This window comes from Homo sapiens, chromosome 4, assembly GCF_000001405.40.
Source record: "Homo sapiens chromosome 4, GRCh38.p14 Primary Assembly".
Classification (NCBI taxonomy): domain Eukaryota; kingdom Metazoa; phylum Chordata; class Mammalia; order Primates; family Hominidae; genus Homo; species Homo sapiens.
Window position 1 is genome coordinate 150,734,392 of NC_000004.12, and position 25,513 is coordinate 150,759,904.

At 36.2% G+C, this 25,513-nt stretch overlaps 1 protein-coding gene across 9 annotated transcripts in view; it reads right to left on the bottom strand.

The window, feature by feature from the left end:
- LRBA (LPS responsive beige-like anchor protein) overlaps window positions 1-25,513 on the bottom strand; it is a 751,293-nt gene that overhangs the window by 469,957 nt on the left and 255,823 nt on the right. For all 9 annotated transcript variants that reach the window (XM_047416462.1, NM_001367550.1, NM_006726.5 and 6 more), the window contains exon 36: window positions 867-975. In XM_047416462.1, coding sequence (XP_047272418.1) covers window positions 867-975 — 109 coding nt within the window. The remainder of the gene's footprint in view (window positions 1-866; window positions 976-25,513) is intronic.

Here is a 25,513-nt window from a genome sequence, read left to right on the forward strand (position 1 = left end):
AGTGAAATTGGTCTTCTAGAGTTTTATTTTTCTAGAATAATTTTCAGATTTGCTGGTTGTATAAAATTCACTTGGAAGATTTTTCATCTTTTCTAATGTACCAGAAAAATGTCAGCAACATATGAGTTTATCTGTTCTTGATATGTTAGAAGCCATACAGTGCTTTTAAATATTTTTCCAATTCTATAGCAAATGTACTACTTGTCAAATTTTCTAGTTCACCTTAGGTGAATTTGGGTCATTTCTATAGCTACAAAACCATTAATTTCCTCTAGAAATTTGTATTTCTTATACATGTTCAGGCACAACTACTGAGATAAGCAATGGTCCCAGGATGAGTTTATCACTTAGTCCTCTCCTATGAGAATCCAAGGAGAGAGGTGTGTGCTCCCTCATTTCCTCAGCTACAAATACTGTTACGCTCTCAAACCCTAAAGACAGAGAAATTTCACACCCCTGTGTTCAGCTCCTCTCTAGAAACCTGGATGATCTTACCTTTGCCATAGAGATTTTCATTTCTGGCTAACTAGCTCTGTTTTGTCCAGAAAGGGCCAACTCCTTCACCAGTTTTCTTTATAGGAAAACCATCAGAGCCAAGATTTACCTCTGATTATTAAGATTAGAGCAGCCAAACAAGAAGCTTCTCTGATCAAGCTTCTGTGGTAGCTCAACTACAATTGAGACAAGAGGGCTAAAGAGACATGTACTATCTCCCAGAACCCCCATGACTCTCCTATAAACCTAGATTTTAATTTTTTGATGACATATACTATGTTTCTTTGGACCTGCCATTTTACCGGGACAATTTCTCATGATTATCATTAAAAAACGGTAACTTCCGCACACCAACCATATGTGTAACCTACCTCAAATTCCGCATGTCTGTGAATATCTTCTGCTCTCTGCCTGCTCAGGATAAATTCAGCTTCATTTGCTACTCTTACTAGATGATCCTTCATTGTCTGGCTAAGCAACCTGTAAGAAATGAATGTTATCAAATAAATATATGTATACACACACAACATAAATGATTATTCACTGCTTACGGTGGAGAGGAAGGAATACTTACTTTCTTCTTTTGACATCATACACAATGAGGTACCATTATTTCATGCTAAATAATTGAGGAATGTAACAACAGCAAAAGGTTACCCTTCTGGCAATAGCAGATTAGCTTCTATCAGACTAGCCATGTAACAAAAGCAACTAAAAATACTGGATTAAAGTTGTGTTTTAATCTTTTAAAATGCACTGGAAAGTTACCAAGGCAGCCAAAATTAACCAGTGAAGATCACAGAGAAGAAAGCACACAAAGGACAATCAGTGTGACTTTTTACATTAAGGCATTTGCTATTCCCAAGTGAGAACAGAAAAGCTACACAGACCTGTCACTAGTCTCACAAAGATAAATAGAAAAAAATTGAGGTTCACAGTCTGTCAAGGTGGAGGAGTCCCGGTAGACTACCCAAGAGTTACAGCAGGAATCAAGTGTACCCCAGAAAGCAAGAAATAGACCAGGCCTCAAAACACTGAAACAGACCTTCAGAGATTTGGTGATTGGTATTTAGGTTAACTGGCAGCCAAAAAGCTAAGCAAAGCTTTCAGGGTGGGGAGAAAAAAATCAGAAATACCAATGCAGGAGGGCCATGGCAAAACCCCAGGTTTTCAGAGTACCTCAGAAGGGCTACACACTAGGAGAAGGCAAACAAAATAGGCCAAACTCTCACAAGAACTTAAAAATAAAAACCCAGCCTTGAGTCAGCTCAGACCCTAAATTAATACAATCGGCCATTAGTCTAACTGCTAATCAGAAACCAAAAGGAAGTCCTTTCTAAAGGAAGATAATATCATAGAGACTTAAATTTACCCTTGCCATTTTAAAATACAATTTTCAGCATTCAGTCACCAATTAATAGGCACAAGAGACAATATCATACGAATGGAAACTAAATAGAAACTGGCTCACATCTGGACATTGAAATAAATATAGTTAATATGTTTAGAACTAATTGTGTAACAGAGAATTCCAGTAAAGAATGAAAACTGTAGAAGAACTGAAAAAAAATAAATAAATATAAAAATAGATTTACTGGGTTATTAAGCTCAGCCAAAAAAGGAAAAATTTACTGAAAGATAGGTCAATGACAACTAGACTGAAACATAGTAAGAAAAATTAATGAAAATTGAACAAAATAAATAACAGACATATAGGACATGGTAAAAGAATCTAATGTAAGTGTATCTGTAGTATAAGAAAGAGTAGATACATAATTAGAAAAAAGCAATATTTGAAGAGATAATGGCCAAGATTTTTCAAAACTGGGAAAAAACACTGAGCCATATGTTGATGGAGTGCTACAAAACCCAAGCAGGGTTTTTAAGGATACCCTGCTTAGGCAGTAATAGTAAAACTATCAAAGAAAAAAATTCTTAATAGCAGACAGCGGGAGAGGCCTTCAAAAGAGCAACAATAAGCCTAATGGAAGCCAGATAAGAATGCAATGACCTATTTGAAATACTAAACAAAAATACTACCTAAAAGGCCAGGCCAGTGGCTCACACCTGTAATCCCAGCACTTTGGGAGGTCCGGGCGAGAGGATCACATGAGGCCAGTAGTTCAAGACCAGCCTTGGCAATGTAGTGAGATCCCATCTCTACCAAGAAAGTTTTTTTTAATTAGCGAGGCATGGTAGTGCATGCCTATGGTCCCAGCTACTCAGGAGCCTGAGGCAGAAGCATCACTTGAGTCAATGAGTTTCAAGTTATAGTGAGCTATGATCACACCATGGCACTTCAGCCTGAGCAACAGAGAGAGATCCTCTCTCAAAACCAACCAACCAACCACCTAAGAATTCTATCCTCTTCAAGACCAGCCTGGGTAACATAGTGAAACCCTGTCTCTACTAAAAATATAAAAATTAGCCAGGCATGATGGCAGGTGCCTATAATCCCAGATACTAGGGAGGCTGAGGTGGAAGAATGGCTTGAACTTGGGTGGCGGAGCTTGCAGTGAGCCCAGATTGCACCATTGCGCTCCAGCCTGGGTGACAGAGCGAGACTCCGACAGAACGAATGAACAAACGAATGAACGAACGAAGGAAAAAGAGAGAGAGAGAAAGGAAAGAAAAGAAAAAAGAAAAGAAAAGAAAGACGAAAGAAAGAGAGAGAGAAAGAAAAGCATTCTATCCTCAGTAAGTATCCTTCAATAATGAGATTTAAAGGGTCAAGAGTATACCACTGTGGGAAAAAAAAAAGAGTATTTTTCTGAACTTTCTTTATCCACCTAAATGAAGAAGCTCCCAAAAGAATTTAGCTTTCATCAATCCCTTCCCAGGGAGTTTTGCAACCAAGGAAGATTGACTATTGTCAGTAAAGATGAGAAGTTAGTACCAGGATGAGAAATTATCTAAATAGACATTGATACAAAACTATAATATCACTTAACTATTCTCCTAAGGGCCCACTTACTGTTCACAAAATCATTAGCTTTCCCAAATGTGCCCTTCATTACTTCACTTTTACCCTATTAAAATGGTATGTATATAACCCCAAATTCTAACCCCCTCCTCAAGTCACATTTTTCTCTGAATCTTTTTTTTTTTTTTTTTTTTTTTTCTGAGACGAAGTTTCGCTCTGTCGCCCAGGCTGGGTATAATGGCACAATCTCGGGTCACTGCAACCTCTGCCTCCTGGGTTCAAGCGATTCTCCTGCCTCAACCTCCTGAGTAGCTGGGATTACAAGTATTCACAATCATGCCAGGCTAATTTTTGTATTTTTAGTAGAGACGGGGTTTCACCATGTTAGCCAGGGTGGTCTTGAACTCCTGACCTCAGGTGATCCGCCCGCCTTGGCCTCCCAAAGTGCTGGGATTTCAGGTGTGAGACACAGCAGCCGGCCGAATTCTGACAGACTTATGACTAAAAATAGGTCTTTTTTCTTGCTAAGCTGTGTTTGTCTGTTTAATTCACAGGTCCCCAAACAACAAACCTAAGAGGGTAGAGGAAAACTTTTCCTCATCATCAAAAGCAAAATAAGAACATTCCATGACAAATAAAATAGTGAGAATTTGTCACCAGCCAACCAACATACTTCACAAGGATGAAAAATAATATAAGATTGATACAAGTCAAGGAAAACAATTGGAGCAATGAAAATGACAAACGTGGGTAAATCTAAAAGTATACTGAATGTTTACAATAATTATGTAACTTCTAGAATTAAAAAATACTGCAATCTAAAATATATAACCACAGCATACAAGGCAAGAGAAACCAACTGAATTAGTGTTATAAGTTTCTTGTGTCATACATCAATTGGCAAAAGAATCAGTTTATGTAAGATGTTAATTATAATATTCATACTACAATCTCTGGGTAACCACTAAAGTTATTTAAAATAATATATAACCAACAAGCCAATGGGAAAAAAATTAAGCAACAAATACTTAGCTCAGAAGAAGGAAAAAAAAAAGAAACACAAGATGTGGAGCAAATATAAAGGACATAAATAATAAGATGATAAATTTTAACCTAAACATATCAGAAATACATAGAAAGTAAACATTTAGTAGTAAAATTATTGTCAAATCAATTTTTTAAGGCATATGATGCTTGTAAGTGACACAATTTCAATATAAGGTTAAACAAAGATTGAAAAGTATAATTTCAGAAAACATGAACAATTTTTAAAAGCTAAAAGGTAATAAACTTTTTTTAGTATGAGAAGCAAACAGAAATAAAATAAACCTGTTAAATTAATAAAAGGATAAATGAACTAGAGATACAGAAATTTAGTATTTTGAGATTCTAAATTTGTATGCTCTTAAGAATATGGCCTACTACCAGATATAGAATATATAAAGCTATAGAATATTTTTTAACCTGACCTGACTGACATATCGAGAACATTATACCCAGTAAGTGAATAATAAATATTATTTTCAGGTAAACATGGAACATATTAAAAAAAACAGGCAAAATGCGGGGTCACAAAGCAATTTACAGTGAATTTCAAATGATGGAATCATACTCAGTATGTTCTTTGATACATTTCAATTAAACTAGAAATAACAGGATACAGATCACTCTGCAAGAAGCTCTAAGCTGACCACTGACTTTCCTAACCTCCTGGTATCCACAGCATTATGTAATCTTCCCCTTTAGAGTGTAAGAAGGAGATGGGGCTTGCCTCGAAGCAAGAAAATATGGCAACAATGAAGGAATAACACTTCAATAATTACATTAAATAAGATGGTAACTTGCATCTTGCTAGCAGACTCTATTGACGCTCTCCCTTAATGGCTTAGCTAAAGAAAGCTGTCATGTTATGAGCTGCCCTGTGTAAAGGCCTCCATGGCAAGGAGCTGAGTAGAGCCCCAGACAACAGCCCGCAAAGAATTCAGACTCTCAGTCTAACGACTCAAAAGGAAGTGAATCCTGCCAACAATCACATGATCATGGAAGCAGATCCTTTCCTAGTCAAACATCAAATAAGACTGCAACTCTGGCCAGCACCTCAATTGCAGCCTTGTAAGTGAACCTGAAGGAGAGGCCCAGCTAAGCCATGCCTAGGATTCCTGACCAAGAAAAATTGAGATAACAAATGTATGTTTCTTTAAGGCTAAGTTGTGATAATATTGTTAACACAGCAGTCGCTAAGTAATATCATTTCATGTCTAAAAATTAAAGAATGCACCTCTGAAAAAAACGCACACATAAAAGAATACATCATAATGGAAATTAGGAAACGTTTGCAGTAAAACATAGTAAAAACAATGTGCCAAAATCTGTGGATTTAGATAAACCTTAAACCAATGCTTAGAGGGAAATTGATACACTGAATAAAAACACTAAAGAAGAAAAAAATTGTCAAAATAAATTATGCAAGTATTGAACTGAAGAAATCAGAAAAAGAACAGCCAGTGAACACTGAAAGTTAAATAAGGATAAGAACAGAAATTAAATAGAAAATAAAAAATACACTTTAGAAGATAAAGTTAACAGTTAGTTATTTGAAATACTGAAAAAATCCAAAAGAAAAATGTAAACAATTAAAAGTAATAATTGAATTTAGGAGGGTCACTGGATTTAAGGCAAATACACAAAAATCAACTAGATTATATGTATAGGTTACTAACAAAGTAAAAATGGTTTTTAAATACTATTTTGAAAAGCATTCAAAACCATCAAAATATGTAGGAAAAAGAAACAAAAATGTGCTAGAATTCTGCATGTCAAACAGAAAGAATGGTAAAAAAAAAAAAAAAAGTTAAAACTTAAAGAAAAAAGTATACCATGTTCATGAAAGGGAAAGGCTTGTATTAAAGATATCAATTCTCCACAAAGCTATTTATAGATACAGTCCAATCAAAATCCTAGCAGGTCTTTCTGCATAATCTGATGAGTTCAAATTTAATTCTAAAATCTATAGAAAATGTAAACAAACAAGAATACATGAGACATTCTTAAAGAGGGGAAGAGAGATGATAATAATGATAATGATATTAAAAGACTTATAAGTAAGATGGTCTTTTCCAAAAACTGGTCTTAGATCAATCAACTGATGCTCATATGGACAAATTAACCCTGACTTCTACCTCAAACCATACAAACAAACCAATTCCAAATGAATCCTAGACAAGACCTAAAGATTTCAGGAAGTTTAAAAAGTTTCTAGAAGATTACATAAGAGAGCATCTTCCTGACTGGGTCGATGTAAAGACTTACTGCACCAAACAAAAATACACAAAACATAAGAAAAATAGTGACAAAATGAACTACATCAAAATTTAAAGACTTGTGCTTATGAAAGCCACCACTAAGAGAATTAAAAGCCAAACTTCAGAGAGAGAGAATATACTTGGAAAAATTACAACCAACGAGGAACTGCTATCTTAAATATATTAAAAAGCCTCTTACAAATAAAAGAAAATGATCACAATTTTTAAAATGGGAAAAGTACACAAGCACTTCACAAAAGAAGATTTCCAAATGGTGAATAAGATTATGAAAAGTTGTTCAGGATTACTAGTCATCAAGGAAATAAAACTTAAAACCATAAGATATACTATACTCCACAGAATGGCTATATATGTTTAAAAGGCTGGCATCACCAAGTTATATCAAAGATGTGAAGTAACAGGGACTCTTATAATCACAAAATCGATTAATAAAAATGTTCATGGCAATTATTTACAATAGCCAAACACTAGCAACTACCCAAATGTCCATTAAAAATAAAACTAATTTTTAAAATGTTGGACTTTCATAAAGTAAAATGCTAAGTAGGAAAAAAAAGAATCAATATTATGCATAACAATATGAATTTCACTAACAATATGAATTTCACTAACAATATTGAGCAAAAGCACACAAAAAATATAAAATGTATGAATTGCCTTGTATAAAGATAAAAATTTTTAAAAACAAAACTATGGTATTAGAAGTTAAGAGATTAAGAAATGGTAACCTTCAGTGCTACCTCTCCATATGAGGACTCACACGGAACACTGATAATGGCCACGGAGTTCTAAATATTTTAATAAAATGTCTTAGATGTATAAACAAACGACCCATTCTGATTAGCGCTTTTATAACACCATTTACTTATAAACATATCAACAGAATGATTCACTTTATGTAATCTGGAACATTTTTGATATGTATAGGTCTTCTAAACTTCCTTCTTTAATAGGAGTTGAGAACATAGAGCGGGCAGGGATAGAATTATTATTATTATCATTATTATTATTATTATTATTTTTTTTTTTTAGGGACAGAGTCTCGCTCTGTCACCCAGGCTGGAGTGCAGTGGTGCAATTATGGCTCACAGAAACCTCAACCTCCCAAGCTCAAGTGATCTGCCTACCTCAGCCTGCTGAGTAGCTGGGACTATATACATGTGCCATCGTACCCTGTAAGTTATTTTGGTGGTGTTGTAGAGACAGGGTCTCACTATGTTGCCTATATTGGTCTCAAACTCCTGAGCTCAAGTGATCCTCCTGCCTTAGCTTCCCAAAGTGCTGAAATTATGGGCATGAACATACATGGCCTGCAAGGATTATTTTTTTAAATTTATATAACAAAAGTGGCTAAACTGCCACTAGAAAATGCCCACCTACAAAAGTTACACCTAGCAGTCATCAACAATGACATGAACTTACTCCCATTCCACAGGGCACTTGCCTCACTTTGTAGCAATGTTTTCATTTAAAATATAAATAAGGCCAGGTACAGTGGCTCATGCCTACAATCCCAGCACGTAGAAAAGAGACTCCTTGAGCCCCAGGAGTTTGAGACAAGCCTGGGTAAAATAAAGAGACTTCTTCTCTACAAAAAAACACCAAAAACAACAAAATTAGCTGAGCATGGTGGTACACATCTGTAGTCTCAGCTACTCAAAAGGCCAAGGCAGGAGAATCACCTAAGCCCAGGAGGTAGAGGCTACAGTGAACCATGATGGCATCACTGCACTGCAGCCAGGGCGACAAAGTAAGAACCTGTCTCAAAACAAAAAACAAAACAAAAACAAAAAAAGAGCAAACATAAACTTGGATCCAAAGCAATTGTCACAAAAATTGTTTTTATTTTTTTGGAGATAGAGTCTCACTCTGTTGCCCAGGCTAGAGTACAGTGACAGGATCTCAGCTCACTGCAACCTCCGCTCCCTGGGTACAAGTGATTATCATGTCTCAGCCTCCCAAGTAGCTGGAATTACAGGTACATGAGTCACCACCCCCGGCTAATTTTTGTATTTTTAGTAGAGGTGGGGTTTCACCATGTTGGCCAGGCTGGTCTTGAATTCCTGACCTAAAGTGATCCACTTGCTTTGGCCTTCCAGGGTGCTGGGATTACAGGCGTGAGCCACCGCGCCTGGCCAGCAGTCTTAATAATGCGCTATATGAACATGTTCCCACAATGCAGAAAAACATGTGGAAAATATTCCTCATGAATCAATTAATTTCACTACAACACTATTTATGAAAGTGAGAATCTTAAAGAATCAAAATATACAATCATATAAGTAGATTGTTCCAAATTGACAAAATAATGTCCACAATATACATTAAGAGGAAAAATAAACCTGAGGAATATTATGAACAATATGAGCTTGGGGAACATATAAAAGAAAATACACTTTCTTTTAATTGCCAATAATCTAGAACAGGGGTCAGCAAATTAAGGCCTGTGTGCCAAATCTAGCCTGCCAACATTTTTTGGTTAGTAAGTTCTATAAGAGCACAACTAGGCCCATTTGTTTAAGTGTTATCCATGGCTGTTTTCAACTCACCATACTACACTGAGTTGACCAGTTGTGAAAAAGACCATGTGTACTGCAAGGCCTAAAGAACTATCTGGCCTTTTACAGAAAAAGCATGCACATGTCTGGGCTAGTGAGTGAGGCTTAAGTCCTCCTCCTTACATGTCTCTGTTCTTTGAAGCTTTACAACAATCAATAATCAAAAGAAAGGAAAACAGAAAATCCTTAAAGAAAATAAAAAAGCTTTCTGCCATTCTATCACTTTGTTTCGATCTCTATTAGGCTCACATACACTATTTTAATTTGACTCCAGCTCTGTCAGACTCTCTCTTCTATCCCCAAACTGTCTTCCAGCTACTTTAGAAGTTAATGCAATTTCTTATCTATGATTTTGGGGTGACATCATCAGGGTATTTTTTTTCAAATGCTATTAAACAGTACTCATTTAGGCATTACAGACAAAAACCATCCCTAGTGTAATTTTAAAACCCACTAATGAATAACTTCCTCTGATTCTACGATAGAAAAAACAAGGGCTTTCAAGAGTACAGATGTGAAATACTGGTTTGGGTTCTTAATTTCCCTCTAGAGACCTAAAACCACATTGTGAATTTAACATCAATATATTGCCTTGTACTTTCAAACATTAATTGAATTGATTAGTCAATGGCACACTATCCTACTAGTCCCCAAACAAGTAACCTCAAAGTTATTCTAGTCTCTTCCCTCTTCTCTACCACCTTCCTTCAGGCCCCTAATCAATCAATAAGTCTTGTCAATATTTCCTTTGTAATATTCTCAGCTTTAATTTATGCTGTTTTATAGCCAATGTCCTAAAAATAAAGGTTTCATCATTTCATATACATTATAACTGAATAAATCTTCTGAGTGCTAATTCTGATCTTTTAACATTTTTGTGCCTCTGCCTTTTAAAAACACTGTCCAACATCTGTTCAACACCTATTACATTATAGACTAGGCTAAGCAGCAAAGATGACCTTTCATTATATTTTAGTTGGGGAAAAAGAGAATCCACTGGAGTCCTTTCCAGCTTGAAACTCATATTAACATAAGTGCTATGGTGGACACACCCTAATGTGACCTCCAGTGAGTCGTGGCTTTAAATGATCCCAACCCCTTGAGTTCAACCTGGGCAGAATCTGGCACTTCCTTCTAGCAAACAGAATATAGTAAAGATAATGGGATAATCATTCCTTAATTAGGGTACTTTACATGCCAACGGTGATGGGATAATCACTCTGGTACTTATGTAATAAAGTTCTGCCCTAGCATACTGCAGAGATTCTCCTGCCACCCCTGAAGAAGAAGTAAGTGGCTATGTGTGACCAGGCCATGAGACAGGGAAGTATGGACAGCCTGTAGGATCTGAGAGCATCCTCTCAGTGACAGTAAACAAGAAAATGGGAAACTCAGTACCACAACAGCATGGAACTGAATTCTGCCAAGAAATTTGTGACCCCAAGCTCCAGAAAGAAATGCAGTTTGACCAACACCTTTATTGTAGACTTGTAAAACCCTAAACAGAAGATCCAGCTAAGCTGAGTCTAGACTTCTGACCCACAGAAACTGTAGGATAGTAAACATAAGTTGCTTTGAGCTGCAAAATTTGTGGGAATTTGTTATAAAATAAGCAATACAAATAAAATTAGAACATAAGAATATGTTTGCTATCATATCTCTATAGAAGCAAAGATCACAATAATCTACTAAAGATGAAAAAAAGCTCCAATAGAAAATTAGAGCATGAAGATGAGCCTTAAAGGGCAAAAGCAACAAAAAGAGAAAGATACTTCAGATAACAGTATGAACAAAGTTATAAAGAGAAAAAAACCTTTGTTTTTTGTTTTTTGTTTTTGTTTTGGAGATGGAGTCTTACTCTGTCGCCCAGGCTGGAGTGCAGTGGCACGATCTCAGCTCACTGCAACCTCTGGCTCCCTGGTTCAAGCAATTCTCCTGCCTCAGCCTCCTGAGTAGCTGGGATTACAGGCACGCACCACCACGCCCAGCTAATTTTTGTATCTTTAGTAGAGACGGGATTTCACTATGTTGGCCAGGATGTTCTCGATCTCCTGATCTCATGATCTGCCCGCCTTGGCCTCCCAAAGTGCTGGGATTACAGGCGTCAGCCACTGCGCCCAGCCGAGAAAAAATCTTGTGTGTTCTATTTTCAAGAGAACCGAAACATCCCTTTCTATCACTTAGTTTTCAAGATGTCCATTTACTGACATATACACTTAGATAGGTAGGATATTTCTGTCTTGATGTTTCACTCATTTTTCTGGTTACATAGCATTTAAAAACCATGCAACACTTTAATAATGAAGCAACAAGTGAAAGCTCCCAGCCCCCTTCCCTGTTCACTTTTCAGAATACATCACCACCATGAGTAGTTTATGTTCCTGTCCTTACATTTATCTAAACTTATAGAAACATATACAGTATTTATGTGCATATATATGAAACACATACAGTATTTATGTGCATATATACATATATACAAATGTACATGTTCATGTGTTTTGTAAAAATATTTTTAAATACTTAAGAAGTCATACTATAATACTTGTATATTTTACTTAACCGTATACCATTATGTAATCAGAACAGCTTCAAGTGACTCATGTGGATGGAATGTACCGTAATTTATCAAAATAGTCCCTTATCCAGAGATCATTCATTCTTTCATTCTTTGCCCCATTAACATAACCATTATTTATCCAGTTACTGAAGCTAGAAATATCAGTCATATCTTCCTTCTTCATCATCCTACAGATCCAATAGACCAAGTACTGCCCATTCTACCTCTGCAATAACTTTAAAAGTTGTTTCTCTTACTTTTTTTTTTTTTTTTTTTGTGAGACAGAGTCTCGCTCCATCGCCCAGGCTGGAGTACAGTGGCATGATCTCGGTTCACTGCAATGTCCGTCTCCCTGGTTCAAGTGATTCTCCTGCCTCAGCCTCCAGAGTAGCTGGGACTACCAGAGCCCACCACCATGCCCGGCTAATTTTTTATATTTTTAGTACAGACAGGGTTTCACCGTGTTAGCCAGGATGGTCTTGATTTCCTGACCTTGTGATCCGCCCACCTCAGCCTCCCAAAGTGCTGGGATTATAGGTGTGAGCCACTACGCCCGGCCAAAAGTTGTTTTTCTTTGTAACCTTTTCCGGTGCCCTTCACTGGAAACTCACTGGAACTCAGGATCATGTCTTTGATTATGATAATAGCCTCCAATCCAACTTCTTTCCATGAGTCTTACTATTCTTGCCCATTCTTCACTGGGATCATCTTTCTAAAATGAAAATCTGATAATCACTGTATTGTTGACAAGGTATCAGCCGTCAGCCATCTTCCCATGATCTACAAAAGAGACTAAACACCTTTCCATGGCTTATAAATCAGTCTCATTGTTGTTAAACTTTTATACTCTAAGAACTCCAGGTCAGGAACTACTCTCTCAAACATTACACCCTGTTACTGTACACTCCTTTGCCTCTGTTGCTACTGTCCCAGGAATGACCTCACTTCATATTCTATCTAACCTACCTTCAAAGCTAAACCAAAGTAAAGGTTCACTACAGAACCTTTTCTGATCCCACACCTGCTTTCCCTCCACAGAAGTAATCCCCTACCAACGTGTATCAGTCTCTTCTTTAGTACTTATTACTTTGAAACTTTCTGTATAACACAATTTCAATTATGTATTTACAAATCTGTCTTCCATTTGACACTGCACCAACCATTTATAATTTATCTTTACACAACCAAAGCATAGAACAGTGCCTGGGGACCCAGCAGTGCTTATAAGGAAAAGAAACTTTGACTATCCACTTCTGCCAGTCACTTCTAAGCTGCTAACTGTAAGGAATACAAACATGCATAACACTGTCCACAAAGAGTTCACAATCTAATATGGAAAGTTATAGGACTATATACAAACAGCAAGATAACTGTGAAAAGGTTCTTAAGGTTCTTAAAACATTTTCTTCTCTTAACTTTTGCAATAATACATAGCACTTTCTTGGTTTTCCTCCTATCTAGCTGCTGCTTCTTCATTGCCCACTTTGCTACATCCTCCGCTGCACTACCTACAAATCTTGTAATGTCCAAGAGCTCAGCTGTGTGTTCTTTCCTCCCTCTAAATTATTTCATCCAGTTCTATGACTTTTAATCTCACCTACATAGTACTAATTCCTGTGTTTATATCTCTAACCCTATCCTTGGTCTCCTATATTTCAGACTCACAGGGCCAACTGTCCAACTAAAATCTTCACGTGGATACCCAATAAGGCATTTCAAATCTAACATTTCCAGAGCAGAACTCTTGATTCTACCTACTCACTGCCAATAATACCTCTTCCCCATCACTACCTCAGTTTGTCCCACCACAATAAATAGCGCCAAAGTCCACTCAAACTCAAGAAATAATCTTTGATTTTGTCATTTCCTCACCTCCAAATCCCATTCATGAAAGCAAGTTCTACTGCTTTAACTATTAAATACATCACATATATGTTTATTTCTCTCCATCATCATTGCTACCACATCATTCTAAGTCACCATTCCCTCTTTTCTAGAATACTTCAGTAATATCTTCACTGACTTATCTGCTTTCATTCTTGCCCTGTATACCAATCCTATCACAATTCATTCTTCTAAGAATGTAAGCCATGGTGTTGGGAAAGCTGGATATCAACATACAAAAGAATGAAATTGAGCCAGGCGCGGTAGCTCACGCCTGTAATCCCAACACTTTGGGAGGCCAAGGCAGGCAGATCACGAGGTCAGGAGTTCGAGACCAGCCTGGCCAACATGGTGAAACCCCGTCTCTACTAAAACTACAAAAACTAGCTGGGCATGGTGGTGGGCACCTGTAATCCCAGCTACTCAGGAGGCTGAGGCAGGAGAATCGCTTGAACCTGGGAGACAGAGGTTGCAGTGAGCTGAGATCACACCATTGCACTCCAGCCTGGGTGACAAAGCAAGATTCCATCTCACAGAAAAAAAAAAAAAAAGAATGAAATTGGATGCTTGTTGATATGGTTTGAATATCTGTATCCCCTCCAAAATTCTTGTAGAAACCTAATCTCCAATGCAATAGTATTAAGAGGTGAGGCCTTTCTGAGGTCATTAGGTCATGAGGGCTCCTTCCTAGTGAATGTAATTAAGGCCTTTAAAGAATAGTCTTCACACAATGTTTAGCCTCTTCTGCCCTTTCGGCTTCCACCAGGTGAAGACACAGTGCTCAAAGTGCCATCTTAGAAGCAAAGACCCAGCCCTCATCACACACTGAAACCTGCCAGTGTCTTAATCTTGGACTTCTAAGCCTCTAAAACTATGAGAAATAAATTGCTATTATTTATAAATTACCCAGTCTCAGGTATTTTTTATAGCAGCATACAGAGACTAAGGCACTTACCTTACATCATATATAAAATTACCTCAAAATGGATCAAAGACCTAAATGTAAGAGTTATAACTATAAAACTCCTAAAAGAAAACATAAGGAAAAGCTTCATGACCCTGAATTTGGCAATGATTTCTAGGACGTAATACCAAAAGCGCAGGCAATAACAGAAAAAAAAAATAGATAAACTGGACTACATCAAAACTTCTGGGCCAGGTAAACTGGCTCACACCTGTAATCCCAACACTTTGGGAGGCTAAAGCAGGAGGATCGCTTGAGCTCAGGAATTTAAGATCAGCCTGGGCAACATAGAGAGACTCCACGTCTATTTTTAAAAAGATAAAGGAAAAAACAACAACCTTCTGTGCATCAAAGGACAAACCCAACAGAGTGAAAAGACAACCCCAGTGACTCATGCCTATAATTCCTGCACTTTGGGAGGCCAAGGCAGAAGGGCTGCTTGAGCCCAGGAGCTCAAGACCAGCCTGGACAACATAGCAAGTCCCTATCTCTACCCAAAAAAAAAATAATAATAATAGCTGGGCATGGTGGCATGTGCCTGTGGTCCCAGCTACTCAGGAGGCTGAGGTGGGAGGATCACATTAGCTAGGAGTATGTAGCTGCAATAAGCCACTGCACTCCAGCCTGTATAACAGAGAGACGCTGCCTGTCTCAAAAACAAAACAAACAAATAAGCAGAAAAAAAAAACCCTGTAAGTTATATCATGCCACTCGTCTATTAAAAACTCTGCTCTTACTGAATATGGTTTAATCCAAATTTCTTAGCATAGCTTATAGGGCCTTATATGATCTGAATATTGAATACTTCTCTTGACATTCCCAAGCCTTACTCTTTCTTGCTGATTTTGTTCCAGCCACTCTGGCCTTCAATTTGTTTAAATAATACACAATACTATTCACTCCTTATGGCCTCTGCTCTTGCTGTTTCCTTGCCTTAAAATGTTGTGACATACATCTCAAAAGGGTTAGCTACTTCTCTTCATTCAAACTGTTTCCCCTTCACAAGATTTTTCTAAACACTCCACACTCCCTAAAAGCCAGTATGTTTACTCTCATAACATTATCCTGCTTTGTTTCCTTCTAAGCATTTATTACTTTCTAAATTGTCTTATTTTGATTACTTGTTTATTATTTGTTCTCTCCTTTATGACAGCACAGACTTATTCACAGCTATATCCTCAGATTCCAGAATAGTACCTGGCACATGGATTATAATCAATAAATGGATACTGAATGATAAAAAATGAGTGCCATAAACCACTCCCAATCTACTTTTTTGTCCTTTCCTTATATCCAAAACCTTAACTTCCTTATATCCGTTTCAATCCTCTTTCCCTCTAAGGAATATTCTGCAATTCTATCCTATAAAGACCTTTACTTTATGTCAATCTTTATTTTTAATATCATTTTTGTAGAGACAGGGGTCTTGCTATGTTGTCCAGGCTGGTCTCAGAAATCCTGGCCTCAAATTCCCAAGTAGCTAGGACTACAGGTGCATACTACCCAATTTTTTTTAAAGAGATAGGATCATGCTATGTTGCTCAGGCTGGTCTTGAACTCCTGGGCTCAAGCAATCCTCCCATCTTAGTCTCCCAAAGTGCTGGGATTACAGGAGTGAACTACAATGCCCAGGTTATTTTATGTCAATCTTATCCCTAATGATTACTGTAGGTACGGCATATATTATACTTGTTTATAGAATATCTTATAAACATTCTATTAGAATTATATGTGTATTACTCTATTCTCTCAGAAGATGTGCTTCCTTAACCAGAACTGATTAAGGAAGCAGGGAAGGAAAAAGGAAAAATCTTTAAAAAAAAAAAAAAAGGACTAAAAAAATCTTTTGCTTCTTTTTATTTTAATAAACATAACATCTAAGAGGTACTGTTCAGGTAGGCTATACCCCATCATTATTTGATGAGTGGACAGTTTGTAAAAATACTTCAAACCAAATATTCTCAAGCATCTAAATTTATCTAAGCAATTAACAGCAACACCATGGAGCTTTTAGACTTAACTGTATCATAAATTTAAGTTTGAAATATTTTTGCTGGATAATACAAAATGATTACCATCTAACCTTACTTATTTAAAAGAATATTATAAAAAGTGATTGGGATGTATGTAAAGTATTTAATAATACTTTCAGAGAAGAAGGGAAGCATATATATCTTTTCCTTCACAATTTACAAAATGTTTTAAAATCAAAGTTTCTGAGAAGGTCCTGAATACATACCTCTGATTTTTTTAAATATTCACACAATGTTATTTGTCCTTTCATTAATGAAAATATTAAAATGACTTCAAAAATTAAACTAATAAGATATCTAAATGATTTTTTTTTGCTATTCTAAGGGGTCAATTTTTCTTATCTATATGCCTATTTTCCTAAATATGCAAATTACACAATATTTAGCAACAGCAATTTTATCTAATAGCTGTGTAAACTATTCTTTCAAAAAAGAATTAAAGGTAAATTAAAGTTTTAATTATTATAAGCAGGCTCAAAATGTTGGGTTTACTGTAGATTAAATGTCTAAATGCAGAGCATAAAATGATTCACATATTTTAATATTAAGAAGAAAAAACTATGTATAATTTACACCTACAGTGCAAGAAGGAAGAAAAAATGCTTGTGTCAGCCTTAGGAAACAAACAGCCCTATCAAGTAACCAACTAGAAAAGATTCATACTGGAGGCTCAATAAATAACAGTAATGATGACAACCATCTCCCATAACTACATTACAGCCCATTGTCCACATCTGATTATACTAGTCTAGACCTTGGGTAAGCACATACACATTTTCACCAAGAGTTTTCCAATATTACTGCTCTGTTTCCTGGGCTTTCTGTGACCCCCATTAGCAGCAACTGTCATTTTCACTACTAAACATGACCACTGATGAGAAAGGAAAGTTACTACTTTTCTACACTCTAATAATTGAGAATGTGGAAATAATGTTCCTGAATTGGCAATCCTTCTAAATATAGTAATTTCTTTAGAATTAGCTACAGAGAAGAGGATAAATTGCTTCCAAAGATTTTCTTCCATAATATGAGAACTACTAAAGCCTCACTTTTCAAAATATCATCTCCATATATTAACATAGCCTTTATTCTTATAGTGAAGAATTATTGCCTAACTCTCCATGTATCTGCCTCCTTGCAACATCTATCTCTCTCTGTCTCTCACCCAGCACATCCAATAATTCAGTATCACAAAAATCCCTAAACTGTTATCTCTCTGCACCTTTCTCAGTTAAAGCTCTCAGTAACAACTTTGAATAAGGGATGTAAAGGTTCTAACATCACAGAATACACATGCCTGGAACCTCAGAAAGAATAGATTTTGTTGGTAACTGAAAAAATTAATTTAAATTAAAAAAAAATTTTTAATGGGCTTCATACACATTTAAGGCCAGTCTAGATCTTTCTCGGTTGAAATTTAGCCCAGGTAGTAGCCACTTTTTCTGGAAGGCAGTATCCTTGATCAGAGACCACAAGGTATCCATATGCTTTATTAGACTTTAAATGGAGATAGCAAATACTCCATAAAGTTATTTCATCCTGAGAATATAAAACCTTAGTAATTTAATATAAATGTTACATCCTCACATCAACCTGTTTTTCCAAACTTACTTTGCATGATAATCCCTAGTTGAACATTTTAAAACAACTCATGATATTACAGAGGCTAGAATGGAAGCAAAAAGACCAGGCTGCAAGCTTTTATCTGATTATTTTAGATAAAATAATTTCTTAGGACTATGAAATAATCTATTCTCTAGAATGTGCAAATAAAAAGAGACAGAAGATAGTTACATGTAGAAAAGCAAAAATATAGAGAAATGGCTCTCCTGACTCTCCACTTGGAATTCAGTTTATTTGGAATTCAGCAGATTTCTCTGCTGCACAGTATCTACCACCTTCTATCTTCTTATAACTGCCTTTGTCTCTTCATTGTCAGTGACATTTCCTTGGCGATTCATAGAAATTCATCTTTTCAGATTCCACTCTGACCACTCTTATTTAACACTGCAATGTCCTCTGTATCCGACTGTACCTATTCTCCTCCCCTCGTTTTAACTTTCTCATATCACTTATCTCCTGAACATACTATCAACTTTTTAATTTCTTTATTGTCTAACTTTACCAATTAAAATAAACCCTATTAGGCAGGCATTTCTATTCTGACCATTGCTAAATTCCCAGAGCCAAGAATATGGACCAGCACGTGGCCAGTATGGATTAATATTTGCTGAACAAAGTGAATGACGCTATTTTCATTTTATTTTTATTTTACTCTTCTCAAAGGTTATGAGAGTTCCGTTTTTCACCTATCCCTAATACACATCCCTTTTTTCTATAATCATTCTTATTTAATAAATGATCCTACGTACATAGATGCTGTTGTAGTTTTTTTAAAATGTGTAAGGCTATGAAACATCTATACAAACATAAGCATATTCTACAGGCACGCTATATCCAAGCCATCTTTCCTAAAAGTCACATACATTTGGTCTTGGTAAAAAAATGTCAAACAGCAAATCCTATTTAGCAAAACATTTAAAGCTCTGAAATCTAGTAGAATTTAGCATTTTTAGGGGGTGAAAAAGCACAATTCAAACGCAGCACCATTTTTTTACATAAATCAGAACAAAGCAAGCTTAAAAAGTAGCCACAGACCAGTGTGGTGGCTCACACCTGTAATCCCATTACTTTGGGAGTCCAAGGTGGGAGGATCACTTGAGCAGGAGTTCAAGACCAGTCTTGGCAACATGGCAAAACACCAACTCTACAAAATGTACAAAAATTAGTTGTGGTGTGGTGGCGAGCACCTGTAGTCCCAGGTACTTGGGAGGCTGAGATAAAAGGATCACCTGAGCCAGGGAGATCAAGGCTGCAGTGAGCCTTGATATTGCTACTGCACTCCAGCCTGGGCAACAAAGTTGAGACTCCATCCAAAAAAAAAAAAAAGTAACCATTGAAAAATCATTTAAATATAAAATCCCATATAAAGTGCACAAAACAAGCCTCCATATTCAAAACCTATTAAAGGAAGTATATTAATGATAAGCTGAGATCAAGCTATAAAATTAAAAATAAAAAATGACCTGACCATGTCAGTACTTTAAGCCAAAACATATGAATAAAATAAATAAGAAACATATGCTTATCCTAATTAAGGAGAGAAAATTCTAATCTTCTTTGATAAGCCATTAAACCTTCACAAAATGATAAACATTAATTTAAATAATCTAATCTTTAAGAGCATATAAGAGCATATACTTTATTCTAAATCACCCAGAGAAACTTCTATACTAATACAATCCAGGATTGAAGTAAACAGAGATAAAGACATGAGCCCAGGAGCTAAGCGGTTGCAGCCTGGGTGACAGAACAAGACCCTGTCTCACCAAAAAAAAAAAAAAAAAAAAAGAGAGAGAGAGAGATAAAGTCTCTGCTCAATTAATCCACTGTTGATCTCTGACTCTACCCTAAAAATAGCATCATTTCCAAACAACTGTTTACAAGATGTAATTAAGCAGAGCACAGTAACTCACGCCTGTAATCCTACCAACTTGGGGGACCAAGGTAGGAAGATCACTTGAGCCTGAGCGACAAGGCAAGAACTTATCTCTTAAAAGAAAAAAAAATTACAATAAAAAAATTTAATTGGAGTTTTTCTATAAAGTATCTTCCCACATATATAATTTTAAAACTGAAACCAGAAAAAGCACATGGCTCTTTAAGTAACACTCAAGGATTTCCAAGTGATAATCTCTACCTCAATTCAAATTTTATCTTCCACTGATACAGATAAGAATATATTCTAGCCACACTGTTTACTTACGTGCAATAAATACCTTTGTCTTTTTATCAAAGGATAACCCAGATCTAAAATACAAGTGCTAATGGCCAACAGGGTCCAAATGAAATATTTTCTGGCCTCTCTCCCTCTCTCCCTTTTCCCTCTCCACCTTTCCTTCTAGTCATTCTTCTTCTCATTCCACCAACATTATTAGTAATCGTGCTATTCAGAGAAGTGAAGAAAAAGGATGGAGCGGCTAAATGAATGCTCAGAAAGAAGACATGCAATCTAAGTAGATGAATTTTGAAGACAGACCAGTGTATTAATACTCGAAGCATTATGTCTTTTATGTGGGCTATTTATATATTTGTATACAAGTCTGAGTTACTGCTGTAATAAGCAGACACTGACTGGCTCTAGAGGATGATTAAGCAACGTGCCCAACAGTATGCAGGATAATCTGCCCTTTCTGTGCTTTCCAAGGATGGGAGAAAAAGAAGAGTCACAGCAGCACATCTAAAAGTAAAGTTGTAAGAGGCTATGAAAGCTCTTAAAATGTGTTTTTATTAAATTAAACACAAAACTATAATTATAGGTTGTTTTAATTATTTATATATTTAACAAATTACAAGATTCAAGATGAGAATTTAAATCTTAAAATTTTTACCAAATATTGTACCTTTAAACTAGGTTTCATAGTCTACTACTTCCCTGATTTTTACTATCAAACATTTAAAAAATTAGCCAATAAAACTATGCCGGTTTTTTTATTTAAAGTATAAATGAAATAGAAACAATGAGGAGAAACTAATAGAAACATTAATAAAACTAGGAACAAGAATGAAAGGAGGCCAGGCACAGTGGCTCATGCCTGTAATCCCAGCACTTTGGGAGGCTGAATGACTTAAGTCCAGGAGTTCAAGACTAGCCTGGGCAACATGGCAAAACCCCATCTCTACAAGAAAAAAAAAAAAATTAAAAATTAGCCAGGTGTGGTGTCCTCAACAGCAGTCCCAGATACTTAGGAGGCTGAGGTGAGAGGATCACTTGAGCCAGGGAGGTCGAGGCTGAAGTGAGATGAGATGGTGCCCCTGCACTCTAGCCTGGGCAACAGAGCAAGACCCTATCTCAAAAAAAAAAAAAAGACAGAAAACTCTGATAGAGGATTTGCACTTATTTTTCAAAATTCTAGAGGTTAAGAACAAAAAGAGTACCACCTAAACAAATAAAATATTCATCATTCTCTCTAAGACACACAAGTCATAAGACAGGAGACCACCAACAAATCATTACAAATTTCACAAAATAATGTCTCAGAACAGCTGACTTGATCACTGCTACCTAGAACAACATCAGGAGCTTAAAATGCTCTAAAAAATATTTGGAGGGATCACAAGCAAGCTGGCAAGAAGAAAGGAGGCAACCTAGCAGCCAGATCTATTTCTGCCAGCAAAATTAACATCAATACTGAGATACTAAATTTTTTTGCAAGTAATATCACCAAAACCTCTAAGAAAATAAGAATAAAAGGCAAAATAAGAACTTGAAGCCCTTTATTTATCCAAATAAGAAAAAACATTCAAGATTCATTGGCAAAGAATTGAGTTGAAAAATGTAAGCAACAGTGTTATGGAATGTAATTAAATATATCTTTCAATTCAATTCAATTTCAATTAAATACATTTGTAAAGTGAAGAAAAAAATAACTAAGATAAAGACAAATCGAATACACAAATAAATGAATTTAGGTCCAATATACATAACAATGTAACCTACACCACATCTAAATTTAGTATAACACTGAATCCTCAGATTTCATTCAACAGGGTCAAAGGGAGTAGTAATAACTGTACATTATTTTCTATTGATGTGGTGCTACAGCATCACAGAGACTCTAAAAGGTGGCTTTAATATTCTTTAAGTTCTTTAAAACTATTAGTTTAGAGAAAGTTGTGCCTTTCAAGAATAAGAAAACTCTTTTAGATCTTTCACTTGCACATTTAAAAAGTAAACAGAGGTGCTGATAATAATGATTCAAGATATCATAAAACACTCATAAACAAAATTAGTATTCAGGAATAACAATGTTCTTGCTCATAACTTGTGAAAATTTAATTATTTAACTGAAATCTTTTATTATAAGTATATGTATTTTTTTCTCTTTAAAGTCATCAAGGTTGTAACAATTACGTCAGTGATTATCAATTATTCTAGCTCTCTAAAATAAATTTGTTTAAAATGGAGTGTTGTTTACATGAAAAATACCAATAATTGAACTCAAAATTACCAAAACAATGTATTTAAAAATATCTTATTAAACAAATGTAAGTTAAAGAGACCATCAGCAAATCACTATAAATTTCACAGAGTAACATCTCATCGAGCAGCTGCCTTGATCATAGCTAGAACAACATCAGCAGTTTCTACCAAACAACAATTACTTATGTCTGAACTTAGTAATTGATTTGCTAATGACACTCTACAAGTCTGTTAGACCTTATGCTGTAGTCTGTCTATAAAGGTCTTCATGTTATTTACACAAATACGACATTAATCAAGGGCAAAATTTATAGCAGCTACTCTATAAATGAGGTCAAGGCAGGTCAGACTTACATAATAAGAAGAAAAAAAGGTTAGTCTTTGCAGTAAAAAGGAAAATCATTATTATTATTCTTCCTGCCCCTGGGATTAAGTCTAGTAGTCAAACACTCCAAACTATTTCACAAACACATCTACTCCTATGAAAACTCATTTAACCTCAAGGCACTAAATATTTATAAAAGGAAAGCCAAATCCACTGATTTAGAAAAATAAACCACTAAAATTTTCCTTTAAAATATATTCTACACTGTAAATAAAGAGAGAACGAAAATTTCCAATTTTACCTCCACTATTTCACTAATGAATCTTAGCTTCCACCACTGTTTATTTCAAACACGTAAAAGATAAAGGCTGAGTGTTCTCTATAGGCTAAGCACTGAAGTAAAGAAGACAGTTTCTAACTATGGGAAGCTAAAAAATCTCAACAGAATAAGAAAAGCAAAGGTAAAAAATCAGAGAAAGGGTACTATGAAAATGATAACAGATGATATAAAAATAAATTATTCAAACAACTGTTTCACCAAATTTTCAGAAATAGCAATAGCAGGAGTATTAGCATTTGTGCCAGTACCTCCAAGTCTCAGTTCCACAGAATAATACAGGTCCAGTAGACACCTGTATATGCAGTAAAGTGTGTTACAAGAGAGGAACTCTGAGCTTAGGGCACTTGAATCTTCTGTGACGGCCAGTAGGCCCGTTGGTCTTTGGCTTGGAGAAAGACATTATTATACTAGACAGTAAACGATCCTGCTTTGTTCTAAATGAAGACACTATTTCTATATTCCAAAGCTGTCTGCTATATAAAGATCTTTGAATGATAATGCAAAACAAAGGCATTTGGTATCTCTTCTTACAAGGCCAAAAATCTTAAGAGTGATGCCTGGCTTTCTCTCACAACCCACATCCAAGCCATTAGAATATCCTGTCAGGTCTTATCTTCAAAATAGGTTCATAATCCTACCACTTCTTACCTCCTCTACTGCTAGCAACCTTGTCCCAGTCACCATCATGTTTAACCAGAATTACTACAATAGCCCCCTAATTGATCTCTTTGTCTTTTTTTTTTTTTTTTTTTGAGAAAGGGTCTCATTCTACTGCCCAGGATGGAGTGAAGAGGTGTGAGCATAGCTCACTGCAGCCTCGACCTCCTGGGCTCAAGTGATCCTCCTGCCTCACCCTCCCATGTAGCTGGGACCACAGGTGCATGCCACCATACCCAACTAATTCTTTTTATTTTCTGTAGAGACAGGGTCTCACTATGTTGCCCAGGCTGGTCTCAGACTCTTGGGCTCAAGCGATCCTCCCACCTCGGCCTCTCAAAGTGCTGGAATTACAGACAGAAGCCACTGCTTCTGGCTATCTCTTCACTTCTATCCTTAAATTCCTACATGCATCAGCCATAGTCATTTTTTCCCCACGACAGGGTCTTGCTCTATCTCCCAGGCTACATTGTAGTAGCATGATCACAGCTCATTGCAGCCTCGTCCTCCTAGACTCAAGGGATCCTCCCACCTCACAGCTTTCCAAGTAGCTGGTACTATAGGCACCTGCCACTATACCAGGCTAATTGTTTGCATTTTTTGTAGACAGAGTTTCACCATGTTGCCCAGGCTGGTTTTGAACTCCTGGGCTCTAACAAGTCACCCACCTCAGCCTCCGAAAGTGCTGGGATTACAGGTGTGAGCCACTGTGCCCATCCCAGAGTGATCTTTTTAATCCATAAGGGAGACTGTCTTCCTCTTCTTCTCAAAATCATGCAATGGCTGTCATTTCCCACAGAATAAATTACAAAGCCTCTACACAAAATCTTGCCCTATGTTATCTCTCTGACCTTACTTCCTATTTCATTCTACTTTAATCACTCTTTTCTTGCTATATTGGCCTCATTCCTCAAATACACCACAGAAGCTCTCACTTGTACACTGGCTGTTCCCTAGGCCTGGAATGCTTTTCCATACATGCCCCTTTAACTGACTCCCTGTGTGCTTCAAGTGCTTGCTCCAATGTTACTTTCTCAATGAGTCCTAATCCTGCCACTCTATTTAAACTACAAACCATACCAACCTTTTTTACTTCCTTCAAAAATTTCATTCCCCTCATCTGCTCCATATTTTTTCTCACAGTACTAACCGTCATTCACATATTATATAACTTACTTTTTTTTTTATTGTTTATAATCTGTCAATGCCTATTTGAATGTACAATCCACGAAAAAAAGAATCTTTATCTATTTTGTTTATTGCTGTATCCTCCGTAGCAAGAATAATTCCTGGGACATAGTGTGTAATAAATAGATGAGGAACTGAAGCTCAAAAACTAAAAGCGCTTGTCAAGTATCAAAGCTGAAACCTGAACCCAGGGCTATCTTCAAAGCCAATGCTCTTAATC